At 38.5% G+C, this 19,454-nt stretch overlaps 1 pseudogene across 1 annotated transcript in view, besides 1 other annotated feature; it reads left to right on the top strand.

Moving 5' to 3' along the window:
• Positions 1 to 6,755, top strand: part of CHMP1B2P (charged multivesicular body protein 1B2, pseudogene) — a 106,830-nt pseudogene extending 100,075 nt beyond the window's left edge. The window contains exon 6 of the transcript NR_110646.1: positions 654 to 6,755. The product of NR_110646.1 is annotated as a charged multivesicular body protein 1B2, pseudogene (transcript). The remainder of the gene's footprint in view (positions 1 to 653) is intronic.
• Positions 17,969 to 19,168: an enhancer, noted in NCBI's record as "P300/CBP strongly-dependent group 1 enhancer chrX:79471575-79472774 (GRCh37/hg19 assembly coordinates)". NCBI's record gives its function as "activates an origin of replication core promoter dependent on BRD2, BRD4, P300/CBP, MED14 and CDK7 cofactors, with strong dependence on P300/CBP, by STARR-seq in HCT116 cells {active_cell/tissue: HCT116}" and the evidence as "EXISTENCE:reporter gene assay evidence [ECO:0000049][PMID:35650434]".

The following is a 19,454-nucleotide window of genomic DNA, read 5'->3' as shown; positions in this document are numbered from 1 at the left end:
GAGTATTATTCAGTTTTTCCATAAATTAAACACTGGAATAAAAGCACAACAGAGTTTTATTAAAGCATTAATCTACTCTTTATAAATGTGTTGTTGGTATGTGTTCCAAAATTATGTGAAACTCCTATAATTCTGATATAACAATATAAGTTATCAGTAATAATTATAATTGTTATATTATTATGCCATAGAGGTAACAAATATCCTTCTTAGTTGTATCTTTGACTATGGGTGCCCTAAGACTTTTTGTTATCCATAGACAGTTGTTGTTTTAATTCTATTTAAAAGGTGGTTTTTTAAAATCAACTATAAAACTCGTAACAGGTGCTCTTAAATGCAGGTTTTTGATAACTTCGGAGATTGTGACATTAGAATAGAGGAAAAACTTTCAGAACTCTCGTGGAAAGCTGAAATGTTTATGAATATCAAGCAGAACAGGAGTTAACTTCATGGAGTAAACTAATAAAAGACTAAATAATCCTTACAGCTTTTAACAATTGAGTAAAGTATGTCCCTGTAAACAAAACTTAGAGCATATTGTTTTCTCTTTACTTGATCTCTCCAGAATTTAGATACTACTTGTAAGTATTCTCAACTTATGGCAATATAGTTACTTGCCTTAGTGCAGTAAGAATCTATTTTCTTTTACACAGGACACAACTGGAGAAACTGGTTATTTTACCAAGGCTTTGACTGGAATGGCATAGTTTCAGGTTGCTTTAAGGAATCAACTTTGACTTATAAAGCCAATAAATACACCTTGGGAAAACTGGCCTCATACCTTGTCTAAATAGTCTCTGTACACAGCTCTTGACCTCTGGTAAGTAAAGAATGTTATTTTCCAGTAGGCCAAGGAGCCCCAAGTTATCTTGGGACCTCAAGAGGAGAGGAATTTCCCCAACTCATATAGGTAATTGATGACACTAACCCATGGCTGGGATTAAGTCTTCAAAAAAGTCTTATCTGATTCCTCATGAAATGAAGTTCCATCAAAGACAATTTAAAAGGGAGCCTATATGGCAAATAATTATTCTTGCTGTTGTTTATGCAAATAATCAGGCCAAGTATAATAAGACAAGTTTATTCTGCAAACTAATCAATCCTATCATGATATTTTTTAAACAAAGGAGGACTGGAAAGATAAAAATCATGTTTCAAGAACTATGGTATACTTATTATTAGATTCTAGTCTCATCAGTTGTTTTTGAGTTTTTGTCTGCAATTCAGACTAACCCTGCTTATTCCTGTGAACTAACTGGTGAACTCTGGCTACAACTCAGAAGAAACAAGAGGGATGGGTCATGCAAAAACCTGAATCAATGTTCTAATTCTGGGCAATAGAATAATTGGCTAGCAACCCCATGCACCCACGTCTTAGCAGGCATGAATATAGCCACCAACTACCGGGGCATGTCGGCAGCCTCGGGATTTTTTGGAGGTGTCATCTCCCCCTTATTTTGTTTTGACATTCTTCTCAATCTACTAACCTGATTTGTCTTTTCTTGCGTTCAGGCCATCAAGCTCCAAAAGATGCTCAGTGATGGATACTGTCCTCTCAATACTAGAGTCACACTTCTAGAGGGGACCCCTAGACTGCCCATCAGTGGAACATGACAGAGGCAAAATCTTGCCACTGTCTTCCTTGGGCCTGGGTGGCTACGACTTTCACCAATCCATGGAGCCACCCTGCTCTGACAGCTAACTTCTGTCAGCAGGAAACAATTACAGAAGACTGACTTACATCAACTTTCCCCAAAGAATTGGGGTCTTGGATTGTTGAGAGGGGACATGGTACAGTAAGTAGCTAGTCAGACATGAGCAGAGCAGGAGAGGTCTCTCCCTCACCACACACACACCAGGAATGTCAGGTGGTTTTTAAGTGTCTCTCTAAAGTAATAATTGGTCACAGCGTGTGCAAGGGAAAGGCGGTCGCCCAATAGGAAAATACTGAAACTGGTGATCAGCTTCCTGATGAGATCTCAGGAGCCAGGCGAGTGGGCTCAGGCATGTGCACCAAGAGGCAAAATGTTGGAGTTTAACTGGTATATGACCTTCTAGGGACATTTGACTGGTAAGGGAAGAACTCCTCAAGAGAGCATGCATACAACTCCAGTAAACTCACTGTGCCTGTGGCCTTTCCCAAGTGCTAGCAGGTCACTGCACATGTGGACAGCCCACCACAAGGGAAGAATCAGAGAAGGGACACAAGACCCCTGAAGCCTACCAACATATAAAAAACTCCAAGTCAAAAGGTCAAACTGTGCACTTATCTGTGAAGTACCCGCTTGTTCCTCTTACAAGAGTATTTCACTTTCTTTCTTTCCTGCTCTAATGCTTTTTAACATACTTTTAGGCCTGCTTTCAACTTGCTTTGGTTTTTCACTCTGCCTTATGCCCCTCAGTCAAAAGCCTTCTGGGGAGTCAACAGTAGAGGTTGCTGCAGACCTGTACAGATTTGCCACTGGTAACAACCCCTGGATGAACATTCCATTGGCAGTAGCTCTGTTTCTCTGAGGTGGAGTTCCCAGAAGCAACTGATAGTCCCTCTGCTCCTGCCTTCCACAGTACCCACCCTTGCTGCCCCCAGGGTGGAAGAGTCACAAAGAGCTTGAGTACTTTACTTGCACCTCCAGCATGCTACAGCCACCCTATAGAGAGGAGGTCAGACTGTGCTCCCATCAGCCACCCCCCAACCCCATCTCTTCACCAGGCAGGGCCCTCTGGCTTTGGCCTGCAGCAAAGAAGTGTCACCCCCAGCTGATCATTCCAATTTGCAGTGGCTCTGTGTTTCTCTGTCATATAGCTAGCTCCCAGAGACAAATGACAGCCCGTCTGCCATCACTGCTGCTGAGGTCCCGACCCCTGCTGCCCCCAAGCTGAGTAGAGAACAAGAAGCCTAAACATACCCCAGGGCTACTGTGCACAGCTTAGGAGTGCCAAATGGTGATCTGTGGCCAGCACACGAGCAGGAGAGGAACCCACACTCTCAGAGCCCTAAGAGGTTAGAGTCAAAGCTTCAGGAACTGTGCAGAAACACAGCATGCCTCCATCTGCAGGTTCCACCTGGGAAAGGTGTGGCCTATCTCCCTGTCATGGCCCCTGCCCATGGAAGTCCTGCAGCCTAGAATGCCTAACAAAAGAAAAGCGTATGCCATGCCAGTGATTGTAGGGAGTTCTTCCAAGACACAAGAGTGGACCTAGTGAGGGAGTCACCTCTCTCCACCCCACACCAAAGAGCACACCCGAAAGCATGAAGAAATACAGAGGAGCCACATGGTGTAATAAGAGCCTATTTACTGTTACTCTTAAGCACCATCTACTGAATTGCAGCCCGAACTAGAACACCAAAAATATTTTGCTAATATACTCATCTGTGAAACCAAGGGCAATATTTCAGCCACAAAAAAGGCCCACCACAGAGCCTTGGCCCTCTGAAAACATCCAGAAACAAAGCCAACTGACTATAATCAAATTACAATACAGTTGAAGGAATGTCAGTCCTCCCAGTTGAAAAAGAGCGAGCCCAAGAATTCTGGCAAAACAAATAGCCAGTGTGTCCCCCTACCCATAAACAAGTCCACTGGCTCCCCAAGAATGGTCCTTAACATTTTGGAAATGACTGAAGTGACAGACATACAATTCAAAATTTATATGGCAAGGAAGTTTCAGGAGAAAGTTAAAATTTCAATCCAAGGAATCTAAAAAATCCAATAAAATGAGATGAGCCGAAAGACAAAATAACCGTTTTAACAAAGAACCAAACTGATAGAGCTGAAAAACTCACTACAAGAATTTCATAATAAAATTGGAAGTATTAACAGCAGAATAGATCAAACTGAAGAAAGATGAGACCCAACCATCTGCTCTCTTCAAAAGACACGTATCTCATTTAGCAACACCCACAGGCTCAAAGTAAACGGTTGGAGAAAGATCTACCATGCAAATTAAAAAGAGCAGGTGTTGCTATTTTTATATCAGATAAACAGATTTTAAACCAATAAAAATTAAGGAGATTGTATAATGATAAAGCATACAATACAAGAAGAAGACATAACTATACTAAATGTATATTCAGCCGACATTGGAGCACTGAGAGTCATAAAACAGTTCTTTTTGACCTACGAAGACTTCAACAACCACAGAATAACAGTGAGAGACTTCAACACCACACTGACAGCATTAGACAGGACATCAAGGGAGAAAACTAACAAATTCTGGCCTTAAACTTGAAACTTGACCAATTGGATTAAAAAGACATCTACACAACACTCCACCCAACAGCCATAGAATATATAATCTTCTCATCTGCATATGGAACATATTCTAAGATTGACCACATGCCCAGTCATAAGGGAAGTCTCAAAACATTAAAAAATTGAAATCATAACAAGCACACACTCAGACCACAATCCTCACAGAATACTATGCACAACTATGTGCATGCAAATTAGCAAATCCAGAGTAAATGGATAAATTCCTGGAAAAACACAAATTCCCAAAATTAAGTCAGGAATATATTGAAACCCTGAATAGATCAATATAGAGCTCTGAAATTAAATCAGTAATTAAAATAAAAAACTACCAATAAAAAAAAAGCCCAGGACAAGATGGATTCACAGGTGAATTCTACCGGTGAACAAAGAAGAATTTGTAGTAATCCTTCTGAAACTATTCCAAAAAATTGAGGAGGAGTGTCTGCTCCCTAACTCATTCAGTGAAGCCAATGTCAGCCTAATACCAAAATCTGGCAGAGACAAAGTGAAAAAGGAAACTTCAGACTAATACTCTTCGTGAATATAGGTGCAAATATCCTCAACAAAATACTAGTAAATTGAATCCAGCTGCACATCAAAAAGTTAATGCACCACAACCAAGTTGGATTTGCAAGGCTGGTTCAATAAATCAATAAATGTGATTTATAATCAATAAATGTGATTCACCACACAAACAAAATTAAAAACAAATACCATATGATCATCTCAATAGACGGGCAAAAAGATTTTGAAAAAATTCAAGTTGTTCATGTCCAAACCCCTCAAAAAATTTGATACAGTCAAAGGTGGGCACAGTGTAAAAATAAATAAGGAAGGGTAGATATATGTAAAATAGGTGAAAGGTGGGGATCAAAGGAAAGCATGCGAAATGGGAAGACGGGTTTGCAACCTGGTCTGTGAATTTTACTTGTAACTTGGCCTTTAGGGTTTAAACTGTCTTTGGCTTGAAGATGGGATTTCACTGGGTACCTGCCCCTGTTTTAGGATTTCTCTGCCTCCTCCCTCTATCATTTCCCCCTCTGAAGAGGTACATGTAACTGCCGTTAGAACAGGGATGATGACTGATCTTAGCTGCTTCCTGCTGACAGGGGCATTGTTTTAGGGGCAATGACAATCAGATTTCTCTCAGAGGCCTATCTAAGGGTCCTCAGTAAAAGGGAGCCATTGTCTGAGGCTCTGGTTGCGTGACTGGAGTTTGTTGGCCTGTAGGCAAGAAGAAACAAATTTTACAAGGCTAACTATGCATGGATCAAATATGGGTATTATACAAAGAGGAGTTAAAGGGAACAAATCTAGTGTCAAAGATAACAGAAATGAGAAGTGAAATATACTAATCATTCTGAAAATAATATTGTGCCCCTGATGAAAGAAATTAAATATTGTATGGGAGCAATTAAACTTTAAAAAAGAGATAACTGTTGAGGGGAGTAGGTATTTCTGTTCGTGTTCAGGATTAATGGACCCTTGGTAAAGGTGCCTCATGGTGAAGAACAAAACAAAGGTAAGAACAGCAAGCATAGGCAAGACTATAAAGAGGATATCCATGGAAGGTCAATTATTAACACTTATCTTTTGTGATTTTTAGCTTGAGGTCCCAGATTTTTTCACATTGGTACTTTGGGTGCTCTTCTGGGTTGATGGAAGTGATGCTGTCAGCTTCCCCATGTGTTTACTTGAGTATATGAATCCAAGAATCTGTTCCAGTGACCTTCCCTGCTGTAGGAGTGGAAAGAAGTACAGTGTACTTCCCAATCTTCCCTCCCAATCTGGGCCTAGAGAGGGAGAAAGGAAGGGAAGTGCCTTTACCAGTACTAGGTCCCCTGGATTGAATATAATTTTATCATTTTGAGATTGTTATATAAATGAAAGTATATAGTGTTTAACCTTTTGAGATTGACTCTTTCACTAAACAAGATATCCTTGAGATCTTTGAAAGTTTTTCATGTATCAATAATTTGTTCATTTTTATTGCTGCATAGTATTCCACAGTATAGATGCACCAGTTTGTTTAACCATTCACCTTCTAAGAGGCAACTGCAATATTGACAGTTTTGGGATATTACAAATAAAGCTGCAATGAACATGTGTGTACAGGTTTTTGTTGTAAAAATAAGTTTTAATTTTTCTGGAATAAATGCCCCAAAGTGCAAATTACTGGGCCATATGATGTGTATTTTTAACTTTATAAGAAACAGTCATATTCTTCCAGAGTGGCTGTAGCATTTTCTATTCCCAACAACAATGTATGATCTAGCTTTTCTGAATCCTCACCTGCATTTTGTACTGTCACTGTTGTCTATTTTAGCCATTTTGATAGGTATGTAGTGATAACATAGTTTTAATTTATATTTCCCTAATGGCTACGCATATTGAACACCTTTCCAAGTGATTATTATCACATGTATATATTATTTGGTGAAAAGTCTGTTCATGTCTTCTGCCTACTTTCTAGTGATATAATAAACTTTATTATTTTTTGCATTTTGTTTTTTTCTTTAAAAAGAGTATTTCCTAACACCCACATTATATATCATGTACTTTCATTTAATGCTATTATAATCTTGATTTTTATTTTGAAGACTTTGTTTCTAAAGGAATTTTCTGAATTATGTGAGATATGGCTTTAATTTTATTTTTTCCAAATCAACAACCAATTGTCCCAATAAGTGAACAATTAAATACTTTATTCACCCCTACTCTGAAGACCTATTTTTATTATTTACTAACTATATATTCATATAATAAACTAATTGCTAAATATATTTTTATATAATCATAATACTAATTATATATCCTAATTATGTGATATACTAATTATATAATCTGTTTCCAAACTCTATAATTCTGTTGAGTTATTTGTTTAGTCTTCAACTGATACCACTCTGTTTTAATTTTTATGGTTCTATCACATGTCATAATACCTAGTAGAACAGATTCTGCTCCATGTGCCTTTTTTCCCAAACATGAATTGGCTACTATATATTTGCCCTAACATATGAATTTAAAATTAGTTTTTTTAAGAAAAAATGCTTATTGAGGTTTTGGTTGACATAGCATTGAAATTATGGCTTATTTGGGGGTAGGAGTGTTGGTATATTTACAATATTGTTTCACCCCTCCAGTAGAGTTATATCACTCTCAGTTCACTCAAATCTCATTTTATGTCATTGCTTGTCATTTTTCTACCATAGCACATTGGCTCTGAGTTTTGAAGATGAAGTTAAAGTTTGGTAGGCACAAGCAAGGTTAGAGCCTTCCTAGGTATCCCAGTTTAGCATGTGGTCGTCTAAGCTTGGAAGTTATGATGCAGATAAGAGGAGATTTCAGGTCTATGCAAGGACAAAGAAAGACTGATAGTGTGGTTCTTTAGTTTCAGACCCCCATGCACAACCCTGGGAGATTCTTAGAGGCACCTGTAGCTTCCCAGAGCTGATTGCAAGCTCTAATGCTAGAAGAGTGGGGCAAGACTGGGTGGGAAAATTGGCATCACAAATTTACCACAACCTGAGAAGATTTTTTTAAAGCTTAATTTAAATGATTAAAAACACAGAGAAACTGGATCAGGGCTTATCCTAAATAAATTAACACAGTAACAGAAACCAAATAATGCATGTTTTCATTTATAAATGTGAGCTAAGCATTGAGTACACATGGATGTAAAGATGGGAACAAAAAACACTGGGGACTACTAGAAGTGGGAGGAAGGGAGGAGGCCATGTGTGGAAAAACTACATATAGGATACTGTGCTCACTACCTGGGTGATCAGATCATCTATACCCCAGACCTCAGCATTATGCAATGTATGCATGTAACAAACCTGCACATGTACCCTATGAATCTAAAATAAAACTAGAAATGAAATATATATTACTCACTTCTATAAGGCATTCTAATATATACATTACAATGAAATACTCAGCAATACGTTACAATGAAATACTCAGCAACAAGTTTAATAAAAGTGAAAGACCTATGCACTGAATCCTATAAAACACTGATGAAAGAAATTAAGACACATAAAAATGAAAATGCCAGTCCTTGAGAGAAGCCATGGGACCTGAGCCCTGAAAAGCCACAGAGGCAGAGCTGCCCAAGGCCTTGGAAGCCCACCCCTTGCATCAGCATGCCTTGGAGGTGAGACATGGAGTAAAAGGAGATTATTTTGGAGCTTTAAGATTTAATGACTGCCCTGCTGGGTTTCATACTTGCGTGGGGCATGTAACCCCTACAATTTGGCCAATTTATTCCATTTAGAATGGGATTATTTACCCAATGTCTGTGCCTTCATTGTATCTTGGAAGTAACTAACTTGTTTTTTTATTAATATTTTACAGGCTCATAGGCGGAAGGGACTTGTCTTGTCTCAGATGAGACTTTGGACTTGGACTTTTGAGTTAATGGTGGAATGAGTTAAGACTTTGGGGGACTACTGAAAATGCATGATTAATTTTGCAGTGGGAAAAGAACATGAGAATTGTGAAAAGCCAGAAGAGGAATGATATTGTTTGGTTCTGGGTCCCCATACAAATCTTATGTCAAACTGCAATCCCTACGTGTCATGGCAGGGATATAGTGGCAGGTGGTTGGGTCAAGGGGGCAGATTTCCAATAAATATGAATTGGAAGAATTAATATGATTAAAATTTTCATACTACCCAAAGAAATCTACAGTTTTACTGCAGTCTCTATTCAAATTTTAATAAAAATTCACAAAAATGTTCACAAATAATCAAAAAGGTTTTATGGAACAACAAAAGATCCTGATAGGAAAAGCAGCCTTGAGGAAAAAAAACACTAAAATATCACACTACCTGATATTAAAATATACTACAAAGTTATAGTAATGAAAACAAAATGATAATGGCATAAAAATAGAACATAGGCCAATAAAACAAAATAGAGAGCCCAGAAAGAAATCCACATATTTACAGTCAATTGGTTTTCAACAAAGTTGCCAAGACCACAAAACATAAAGGATGGTCTTTTTAATAAGTGATGTTGAGGAAGCTAAATATCTGCATGCAGAAGAATGAAATTAGATCCTTCTCTTACACCATATACAACAATAAACTCAAAATGGTTTAAAGACTTAAACAGAGGATCAGAACTTTGAAGTTACTAGAAGAAAACATAAGGAAAAGATCCATGATACTAGCCTTGGCAATGAATTTTTTTTTTTAGATGTGACTACAAAAGCACAGGCAACAACAGCAAATTAACTGTAATTAAACCCAACTAAAAGTGTTTGCACAGGAAAACAAACAACAGAGGGAAGAGACAACTTACAGAATGAAAGAAAGTCTTTGCAAACCATACATCTTGTTAGGGGTTAATGTCCAAACTATATAAGCAATTTATATGATTCAATAAGAAGAAAGCAACCTGATTAGAAAATGGGCCAAATATCTTAATTTGGATATTCATCACCTCCAAATCTCATATTGAAATTTGATTTCCAGTGTTGGAGGTGGAGCATGGTTGAAATTGTTTGGATTATGGGTCAGATGCCTTATGAATGGCTTCGTGTCATTCTCATGGGATCGAGTGAGTTCTCACTCTTAGTTCTCATGAGACCTGTCAGTTAAAAAAGAACCTGATATCTCCTCCTCTCTGCCTTGCTTTCTCTTTTGCCATGTGACATGCTGCCTCTTATTCCCCATCCACCATGATTGGAAACTTTCTGTGAGGCCCTCACCAAAAGCAGGTGCTGATGCCATGCTTTTTGTACAGCCTATGTTGTAATTTATGTTGTAATACAAATGAAAACCACAATGAAATATCACCTCATGTCCATTACAATGGCTATGATATATATATAAAGATGATATATATATAAAGATATATATATATATATATATATATATATATATAAAGATGAATGATTACAAAAAGTGTTGAAACTGATGTGGAGAAAAGAAACTACACATTGTTGGTGGGAATTTGTAGCCATTTTGGAAAACATTATAGAGGTTACCTAAAAAATTAAAAATAAAAATACCATGTTATCCACCAATCCCACTACTGGCTATTTTTCCAAAGGAAATGAAATCAATATTTCAAATAAATATCTAGACTTTCCTGTTCATTGCAGCATTATTCACAATAGCCAAGATACAGAATTAGCCTGTCCATCAGCAGATGAACAGATAAATAAAATGTGATATCATTAACTTTTTATTTATTTATTTTTCTGAGAGGATGTGGAGTAAGATGGCCAAATAGAACACTCCAGTGATCATCTCCCCTCAGGAACACCAAATTGTACAAGTATCCATGCAAAAGACCCTTCATTAAAAAAACAACTAGACAAACAACAGCAAAACTGAAACAAAAACAAAAACCAGATGAGAAATTACATCATCTTGTTTTAACAAATGATAGGAGAAGCAGCATTGAAGAGGGTAGAAAGGATAGCCTTGCATTGCCTATAACACCCCTACCCAACCCAAGGTAGCACAGCACAGAGAGAATCTGTGTGCTTGGAGAGAAAAAGTAAAATGAGGGTAAAACTTTGCATTGGAAGTCAGTAACTCCATGTCACAGGGGAAGACAGCACTATGAAAAATTCAGCTGGTGCCTACAGAGGGAGCACTTCCACTAGCCTTGGGCCTGGAGGAATCTCCCATCTTAGCAGGATGAACCTATATCCCAGCCACCTTCAACACTAGCTGACTAAAGTATCCTTGAGACACAAATAAATTTGGGTGGAAGTCAGACCACAGTGTCTACACTCCTTGGGCAATCCCTGGTGCTCCAGTGATCTCAGAGCAGTGGGCTTGTGGTGTAACCCAGTGTCATGCCAGCTGCAGTGGCCATAGGAGTGCCTGCATCACCTCCTCACCCAACTTTAAGCAGTAAAGCAAGGGAAGAGACTACTTCTGCTTTGGAGCAGGAGAGGGAAGAGCACAGAGGACATTATTTTGCAACTTGGGTGTTGACACTGTTTTGCAACTTGGGTATTAGCATAACTACAGAAGAAGAAGCACCAGGGAGATTTCTGAAGTCCCTGTTGGATGGTATTTCTAGACCCACCACAGGCCAAAAGGGAATCTGATGTCCTGCTGGGATAGAATCCGTTCTGGCAAGATTCACTATATTGCTAAAAAGTGTCTTCCGGCCTTGGATAAACATCACCAGCCATCAGGCAGTAGTGGCTGTGGACCTTGGCTGAGCCCCAGTACTGTGCTGGTCTGGAAGGCCATGGGTTACAGGTGCAATACAGTGAAATGCCACCTGTGGAGGCCATGGAAGTGCCTGCATCACCCTTCACCCAACTCCAGACAGCCCAGCATAGAGAGATACTCCTAATTGGGAGAAAGTGGGAGGAATGGAAGGAGGGACTTTACATGGAAATCGACAGAATTATTATCTTCAAGACCACTAAGGCTACGTATCTGAATGTGAAAGAGTCACAGCATTCCTGGGCTTAGGTTGTCCCCTAGTGCTGAAATGGCTATAATTACAACAGGCTTAGGTGACAACACCCAATCCCATTTGAATATTTGGAAAGTCCTCTCAGGAGGGATGAGTACAAACAAGCAAAGGGTTGAAATAAATACCTAACTGTATTAGTCCATTTTTACCCACTATACAGAACTACCTGAGACTGGGAAATTTATAAAGAAAGGAGGTTTAATTGACTCACAGTTACACATGGCTGGGTAGGTGTTAGGACACTTACAATCATGGTGGAAGGCAAAGGGGAAGCAAGGCATGTCTTACGTGGTGGAAGGAGAGAGCAAGGGGGGAAGCGCCACACTTTCAAACCATCAGATATCATGAGAACTCGCTATCATGAGAACATGGGGAAAATCTGCCCTCTTGACCCAACCACCTGCCACTATATCCCTGCCCTGACACGTAGGGATTGCAGTCTGACATAAGATTTGTATGGGGACACAGAGCCAAACCATATCATTCCTCTTCTGGCTTTTCCCAATTCTCATGTTCTTTTCCCACTGCAAAATTAATCATGCATTTTCAGTAGTCCCCCAAAGTCTTAACTCATTCCACCATTAACTCAAAAGTCCAAGTCCAAAGTCTCATCTGAGACAAGACAAGTCCCTTCCGCCTATGAGCCTGTAAAATATTAGTAGAAAAACAGGTTAGTTACTTCCAAGATACGATGAAGGCACAGACATTGGGTAAATAATCCCATTCTAAATGGAATAAATTGGCCAAATCGTAGGGGTTACATGCCCCACGCAAGTATGAAACCCAGCAGGGCAGTCATTAAATCTTAAATCTCCAAAATAATCTCCTTTTACTCCATGTCTCACCTCCAAGGCATGCTGATGCAAGGGGTGGGCTTCCAAGGCCTTGGGCAGCTCTGCCTCTGTGGCTTTTCAGGGCTCAGGTCCCATGGCTTCTCTCAAGGACTGGCATTGTGTGCCTGTGGCTTTTCCAAGCACACAGTGCAAGCTGTTATTGGATCTAACATTCTTTCTTCTGGAATATGGTGGCCCTTTACTCACAGCTCCACTAGGCAAGGCCCCTAGAAATGTGTTTTTTTTTCTTTTCTACCACATAGTCAAGGTACAAAATTTTCAAACTTTTATGCTGTGATTCATTTTTCATTATTAAAAAAATTAAATTTGTTATTTTTTAATTATTTTAAGTTCTGGAATACATGTGCAGGACATGCAGGTTTGTTACACAGGTAAACGTGGGCCTTGGTGATTTGCTGCACATATCAACCCAACACCTAGGTATTAAGCCCCACATGCATTATCTATCCTGATGCTCTCCTTCCCCCTGCTTCCTGAACAGGCCCCAATGAGTGTTGTTCCCTTCCCTGTTTCTATGTGTTCTCATTGTTCAGCTCCTACTTATAAGTGAGAACATTCGGTGTTTGGTTTTCTGTTCCTGTGTTAGTTTGCTGAGGATAATGGCTTCTGGCTCTATCCATGTCCCTGCAAATGACAACATCTTGTTCCTTTTTATGACTGCATAATATTTCATGGTGTATATGTACCACATTTTCTTATCCAGTCTATCATTGATGGGCATTTGGGTTGATTCCATATCTTTGCTATTTGGAATAGTGCTGCAATGCACATATGTGTGCATGTATCTTTACAATAGCATGATTTATATTCCTTTGTGTATATACCTAATAATGGGATTGCTGGGTCAAATGGTATTTCTGGTTCTAGGTCTTTGAGGAATCACCCCACTGTCTTCCACAATGATTGAACTAATTTACATTCCCACCAACAGTGTAAAAGCATTTCTTTTTCTCCACAGCCTCTCCAGCATCCATTGTTTCTTGAATTTTTAATAATTGCCATTCTGACTGGTGTGAGATGGTATCTAATTAAACTAAAATGCTTCTGCACAACAAAACAATCATCAGAGCAAACAGACAACCTACAGAATGGGAGGAAATTTTTGCAATCTCTCCATCTGACAAAGGCCAAATATCCAGAATCTACAAGGCACTTAAACAAATTTACAAGAAACAAACAATCCTAGACACTTCTCAAAAGAAGACATTTATGTGGCCAAAAAGAATATGTAAAAAAAAAAACTCAACATCACTGATCACTACAGAAATGCTCTGATTCTCTTCTAATCATAAGTTCCAATTTCAGACCATCTCTTTTGTGAACCCATATGACTGTATGCTGTTAGGAGCAGCAAGGTGACTTCTTTAATGTTTTGCTGCCTAGAAGTTTCTTCTACCAGATATTGTAAATCATCTCTCTCAAGTTCAAAGTTGCACAGATCCCTAGAGCAGGGACACAATAGCACCAGTCTCTCTGCTAAAGCATGATAAAAGTGGCCTTTGCTCCAGTTCCCAATAAGTTTCTCATCTCCATCAGACACCATCTCAGCCTGGACTTCATTGTCCATATCACTAACAGTATTTTTGTGCAAAGCATTCCACAAGTTTCTAGGAAGTTCCAAACTTTCCCACATCTTGTCTTTTTCTGAGCTTTCCAAAATGTTTCACCCTCTGCCTGTTACCCAGTTCCAAAGTTGCTTCCACATTTTCTGTTATTGTTGTAAGAGTGCCCTACTCCTGGTACCAATTTTTTGTATTAGTCCATTTTCACACTGCTATGAAGAAATACCTGAGACTGTTTAATTTATAAAGAAAAAAGGTTTAATTGACTCAGAATTCTGCATGACTAGGGAGGCCTCAGGAAATTTACATTCATGGTGGAAGGTGAAAGGGAAGCAAGGCACAACTTATATGGTGGCAAAAGAGAGAGAGAGAGAGAGAGAGAGTGTGGGGTGGGGGGGAAGTACCACACTTCTAAACCATCAGATCTGTTGAGAACTCACTATAATTAGAACAGCATTGGGGAAATCTGCCCCCATGATCCAATCACCTCCCACCACGTCCCTCCCCTGACATGTAGGGATTACAATTTGACATGAGATTTGGATTGGGACACAGAGCCAAACCAAATCAATAACTCTTCAAAGCCCAGACATCAACTGACATGTGCAAGCATCAAAAACATGCAGGAAAACATTACCTCACCATATGGAATCAATAAACCATCAGCAACCAATCCTACAGTGATAGATATGTAACCACTCAGAGGGAATTCAAAATAGCTGGTTTAGGGAAGCTCAACAAAATTCTAAATAACAAAGGGAATAAATTCAGAATTCTATTAGAGAAATTTAACAAACAGATTTAAAAAACAAGCAGAAACTTGGGAGCTGAAAAATTCAATTGACAAAGTTTTAAAAAATGGACAGTCTCAACAACAAAATTGATCAAGCGGAAAGATTTAGTGATCTTGAAGATGGGCTATATTTAAATACAGAGTCAAAGGAGAATGAGAAAATAATAAAAAAGAACAAAGTGCACTTATAAGATCTAGATTTTAGACTTCAAAGGACAAATCAAAAAGTTGTTGGCCTTAAAGAAGATGTAGAGAAAATATGGGATTAGAAAGTTTATTCAAATAAATAATAATAAACTTTCCAAACCTAGGGAAAGATATGAATCTGCAGGTACAATGAGATCAAGAACAATAAGCAGATTTAACCCAAATAAGACTACCTCAATGCATTTACTAATTACATTCACAAATGTCAAGGACAAACAAAATTCTAAAAGTGACAAGAGGGAAGAAGAAAAAGAAAACATAACAAAGAGCTCAAACATGTCTTTCAGGAGACTTCTCAGTGAAAACCTTACAGGTCAGAGGGAGTGGGATGGCATTCCAAGATACAGAAGGAAAAAAAATTTCAACCTAGAATAAGCAAAATTATTCAAACATGAAGAAGAAATACTTTCCCAGACAAACAAAAGCTGAGAGATTTCATGAACACCAGGCCTCTCTTACAAGAAATCCTAAAGTGAGTTACTTATTATGAAAGAAAATAATACTAATGATCAACTAGAAATAATCTAAAAGTATAAAACATGTTAGCAAAAGTAAGCACACAGGCAAGAATACTCTAAGACTGCAAATGTTTTGTATAAACCACTCATATCTTTAGTAGAAACACTAACAGATAAATCTATGAAAAATAACTACAATAATGTGTTAATAGAGAGACAATAAAAATGACATAAATGGAACAACAGAAGTCAAGAATTGGGGAGGGCAAAGTGGGATATTTTACATTTTCTTAGTTTTTTTTTTTTCTTTGTGATTGAGTTATCATCAATTCAAAATAATTGGCCACAAGATGTTATTTGCAAGACTCATGGTGGCCACAAAGCAGAAACCTATAATGGATGTAGAAAAAATTTTAAAAACGGAAACATACTAAGAAAGAATACTACACAGTCATAAAAAAGAATGAAATCATGTCATTTGCAGCAACACAGATGCAGCTGGATATTATAAGTCTAAGTGAATTAATGCAAGAACAGAAAACCAAATACTTCGTGTTCTCAGTGATAAGTGGGAGCTAAACAAAGGAAACTCAGGGAAATAAAGATGGCAACAATAGACACTGATGACTACTGTGAGGTAGAGATGGAGGCAGACAAATGTTAAAAAAACTACTGGGTACTATGTGCAGGACTTGGGTAACAGAAAAAATTGTATCCCAAACCTCTGCATTACACAATATACCCAGGTAACAAACCTCCATATGTGTCCCCTGAGTCTAAAATAAAAGTTAAAATTTTATTAACGAATGAAAATAAAAATAGGCAAAGTATCAATAGACATTTTTCCAAAAGACTCTAAACATTTATACATACATGTATATATATACATATATATAATTTGAAATATACAAAAGTACAATAAATATGTAAAAGAATGCTGTGTTCACCTCTTCTTGCATTGCTATAAAGAAATATCAAAGAGTGCATGATTTATTTTATTTTATTTGAGTGACTTATTTTAAAAAAGATGTTTAATTGGCTCACAGTTCACAGGCTATGCAGGAAACACAACACCAGCATCTGCTTGATTTTTGGGTAAACCTCAGGGAGCTTTTACTCATGAAAAAAGGTGAAGCAGGAGCAGGCACATCACATGTTGAAAACAGGAGGAAGGGTGCAAGGGAGTTGCCACACCTTTAAACAATGAGATCTTGGGTGAACAGACTTATAACCCAGGGGATGATGCTGAGCCATTCATACAGGATATGCCCCCATGTTCCAAACACCTCCTACCAGGTCCCACCTTCAACACTGAGGATTACATTTTAATATGAGATTTGGCAGGGGCACAAATCCAAACCATATGATTCTATCCTTGGCCACCAAAATCTCATGTTCTTCTCACATTGCAAAATATAGAGATCTCTTCCCAACACTCCCCTAAAAGTCTGAACTCATTCAAGCACCAAGTCCAAAGTTTTAAGTGTTATCTGAGACTCATTTTATTCTGCCTATGAGCCTGTAACATTGAAAATATGTTACTTATTTCCAAGATGCAATGGGGGTATATGCATTGGTTAAACGTTCCCCATCCAAAAGGGAGAAATTAGTCAAGAGAAAGGGGCTACAGGCTTCACAAAAGTTCAAAACCCAGCAGGAAAGTAATTAAATCTTTAAACTCCAAAATAATCTCTTTTGACTATATTACAAATCAAAACCACAAAGGGTACACTGGTGCAAAACGTGGGCTCCCAAGGCCTTCAGCAACTCTGCCCCAGGGCTGCTTTCAGAGTTTATTAAATGTCTGCAGCTTTTCCAGATGTGAGGTGCAAGTTTCTGGTGGATTTGCCATTCTAGGGTTTGGAGGATGTTGACACCCTTCTCACAGCTGCATTAGGCACTGACCCAGTGGGGACCTCCAATTCCACATTTCTCTTCTGCACTACCCTAGTAGAGGTTCTCTGTGAGGGCTCCACATCTGTAGCAGGCTTCTGCTTGGGCACTCAGGCTTTTTTATACATCTGGTGAAATCAAGCCAATGCTGCTAAGCTTCCTTCACTCTTGCATTCTGTTATCCAACAGACTAAACACCACATGGATGCTGCCAAGGCTTACTATGGCTTGCACCCTCTGAAACAGTGGTCTGAATGGTATTTGTGCCCCTTTGATATGTGGCTGGAACTGGAGTGGCCAGGATGTGGGGAGCAGTTTCCTGAAGCTTTGCAGGGCAGCAAGGCCCTAGTCCTGGCCTACAAAACTATTCTCTCCTTCTAAGCCTCTGAGCCTTTGATGGGAGGAGCCACCACAAAGTTCTGAAAATTCTTCAAGGTTTTTTTCTCATTGTCTTGACTATTAGCACTTGGCTCCTTTTTATTTATGCAAATTTCTCAAGCACATTGTTTCTCCACAGCCTGCTTTTATGTTTCCTTGGAAAATAGGCTTCTTTTTTCTACCACATGGCCAGATGGCAAATTTTCAAACTTTTATGCTCTGCTTCCAGTTTAAATATAAATTCCAACTTTAAGTCATTTCTTTGCTTCCACATCTTAGTGTAGGTTGTTAGAAGCAGCCAGGCCACATCTTGAATGCTTTGCTGCTTTGACATTTCTTCCACCAAATACATTGAGTGCTCACTCTCAAGATCAAATTTCCACAGATCCCTAGGACATGAATACAATACAGCTAAGTTATTTGCTAGGGCATATCAAGAATTACCTTCACTCTAGCTTCTAATAAGTTTGTCATTTCTGTCTGAGACCTTATCAGCCTGGACTTCACTGTCCATATTATTAGTAGTATTTTGGTCACAAGCATTTAACCAGTCTCTAAGGAGTTCCAAACTTTCCCTTGTCTACCTGTGTTCTTCTGTGCCCTCCAAACTCTTTCAACCTGTGCCCATTACCCAGTTGCAAAGTTGCTTCCATATTTTCAGTTATCTTTATAGCAATTCCCCCCTCCTCACTACCAATTTACTGTGCTAGGCCATTCTTGCATTGTTATAAAGAAATATATGAGGCTGGGTAATTTACAAGAAAAGAAGTTTAATTGGCTCACGTTTCTGCAGGCTGTACAGTAAACATGGTGCTAATATCTGCTGGCTTCTGGGTAGGCCTCAGGGAGCTTTTATTTATGGCAGAAGGCAAAATGGGAGCAGTCACATCACATGGAAAAAGCAGGAGCAAGAGTGGGGAGAAATGACACGTTGAAACCAGATTGCCTGTGAACTCACTCATCACTGAGGAGATGATGCTGAGTCATTCATGAGAGATATACCACCATGATCCACACACTTCCCAACATGCTCCACTTCCAACACTGGGGATTCCATTTCAACATTAGATTTTGCAGTGACACGATTCAAACCATATCAGTTGCCCAACAATATTAGTCATCTATTAGTCATCATGGAATTACAAATCAAAACCTCAATGACATAAAACTCTACAACTAGGACAGATGTAATTAAAAGATAAATAATAGCAGACAGAAAATGAATAAATTGGATCCCTCATGCACTGCTGGTAAGAATATAAAATTGCAAAGTCACTTTGGAAAATAGCCTGGCCATTCCTCAGCAGGTTAACAACAGAGTTACCATATGACTCAGTAATTCCAGCATAGGTATATATCTGAGAATTGAAAAACAGAAATTTAAAAAGAAAACATATGCCAACACAAAACTTGTGTATGAATGTTTAAAGCCTCATTATTCTTCATAGTCAAAAATAGGAAAATTCAAATGCCCATAAACTGTTAAATGAGTAAATAATATGTATATCCATGCAATAAATAAATAACTTATATATATATATATATGTATATTTTTTATTGATCATTCTTGAGTGTTTCTCGCAGAGGGGGATTTGGCAGGG

This window comes from Homo sapiens, chromosome X, assembly GCF_000001405.40.
Source record: "Homo sapiens chromosome X, GRCh38.p14 Primary Assembly".
Taxonomy (NCBI): domain Eukaryota; kingdom Metazoa; phylum Chordata; class Mammalia; order Primates; family Hominidae; genus Homo; species Homo sapiens.
Note: the sequence above shows the minus strand (reverse complement) of the source record. Positions and strands in the feature narration are given on the sequence as shown.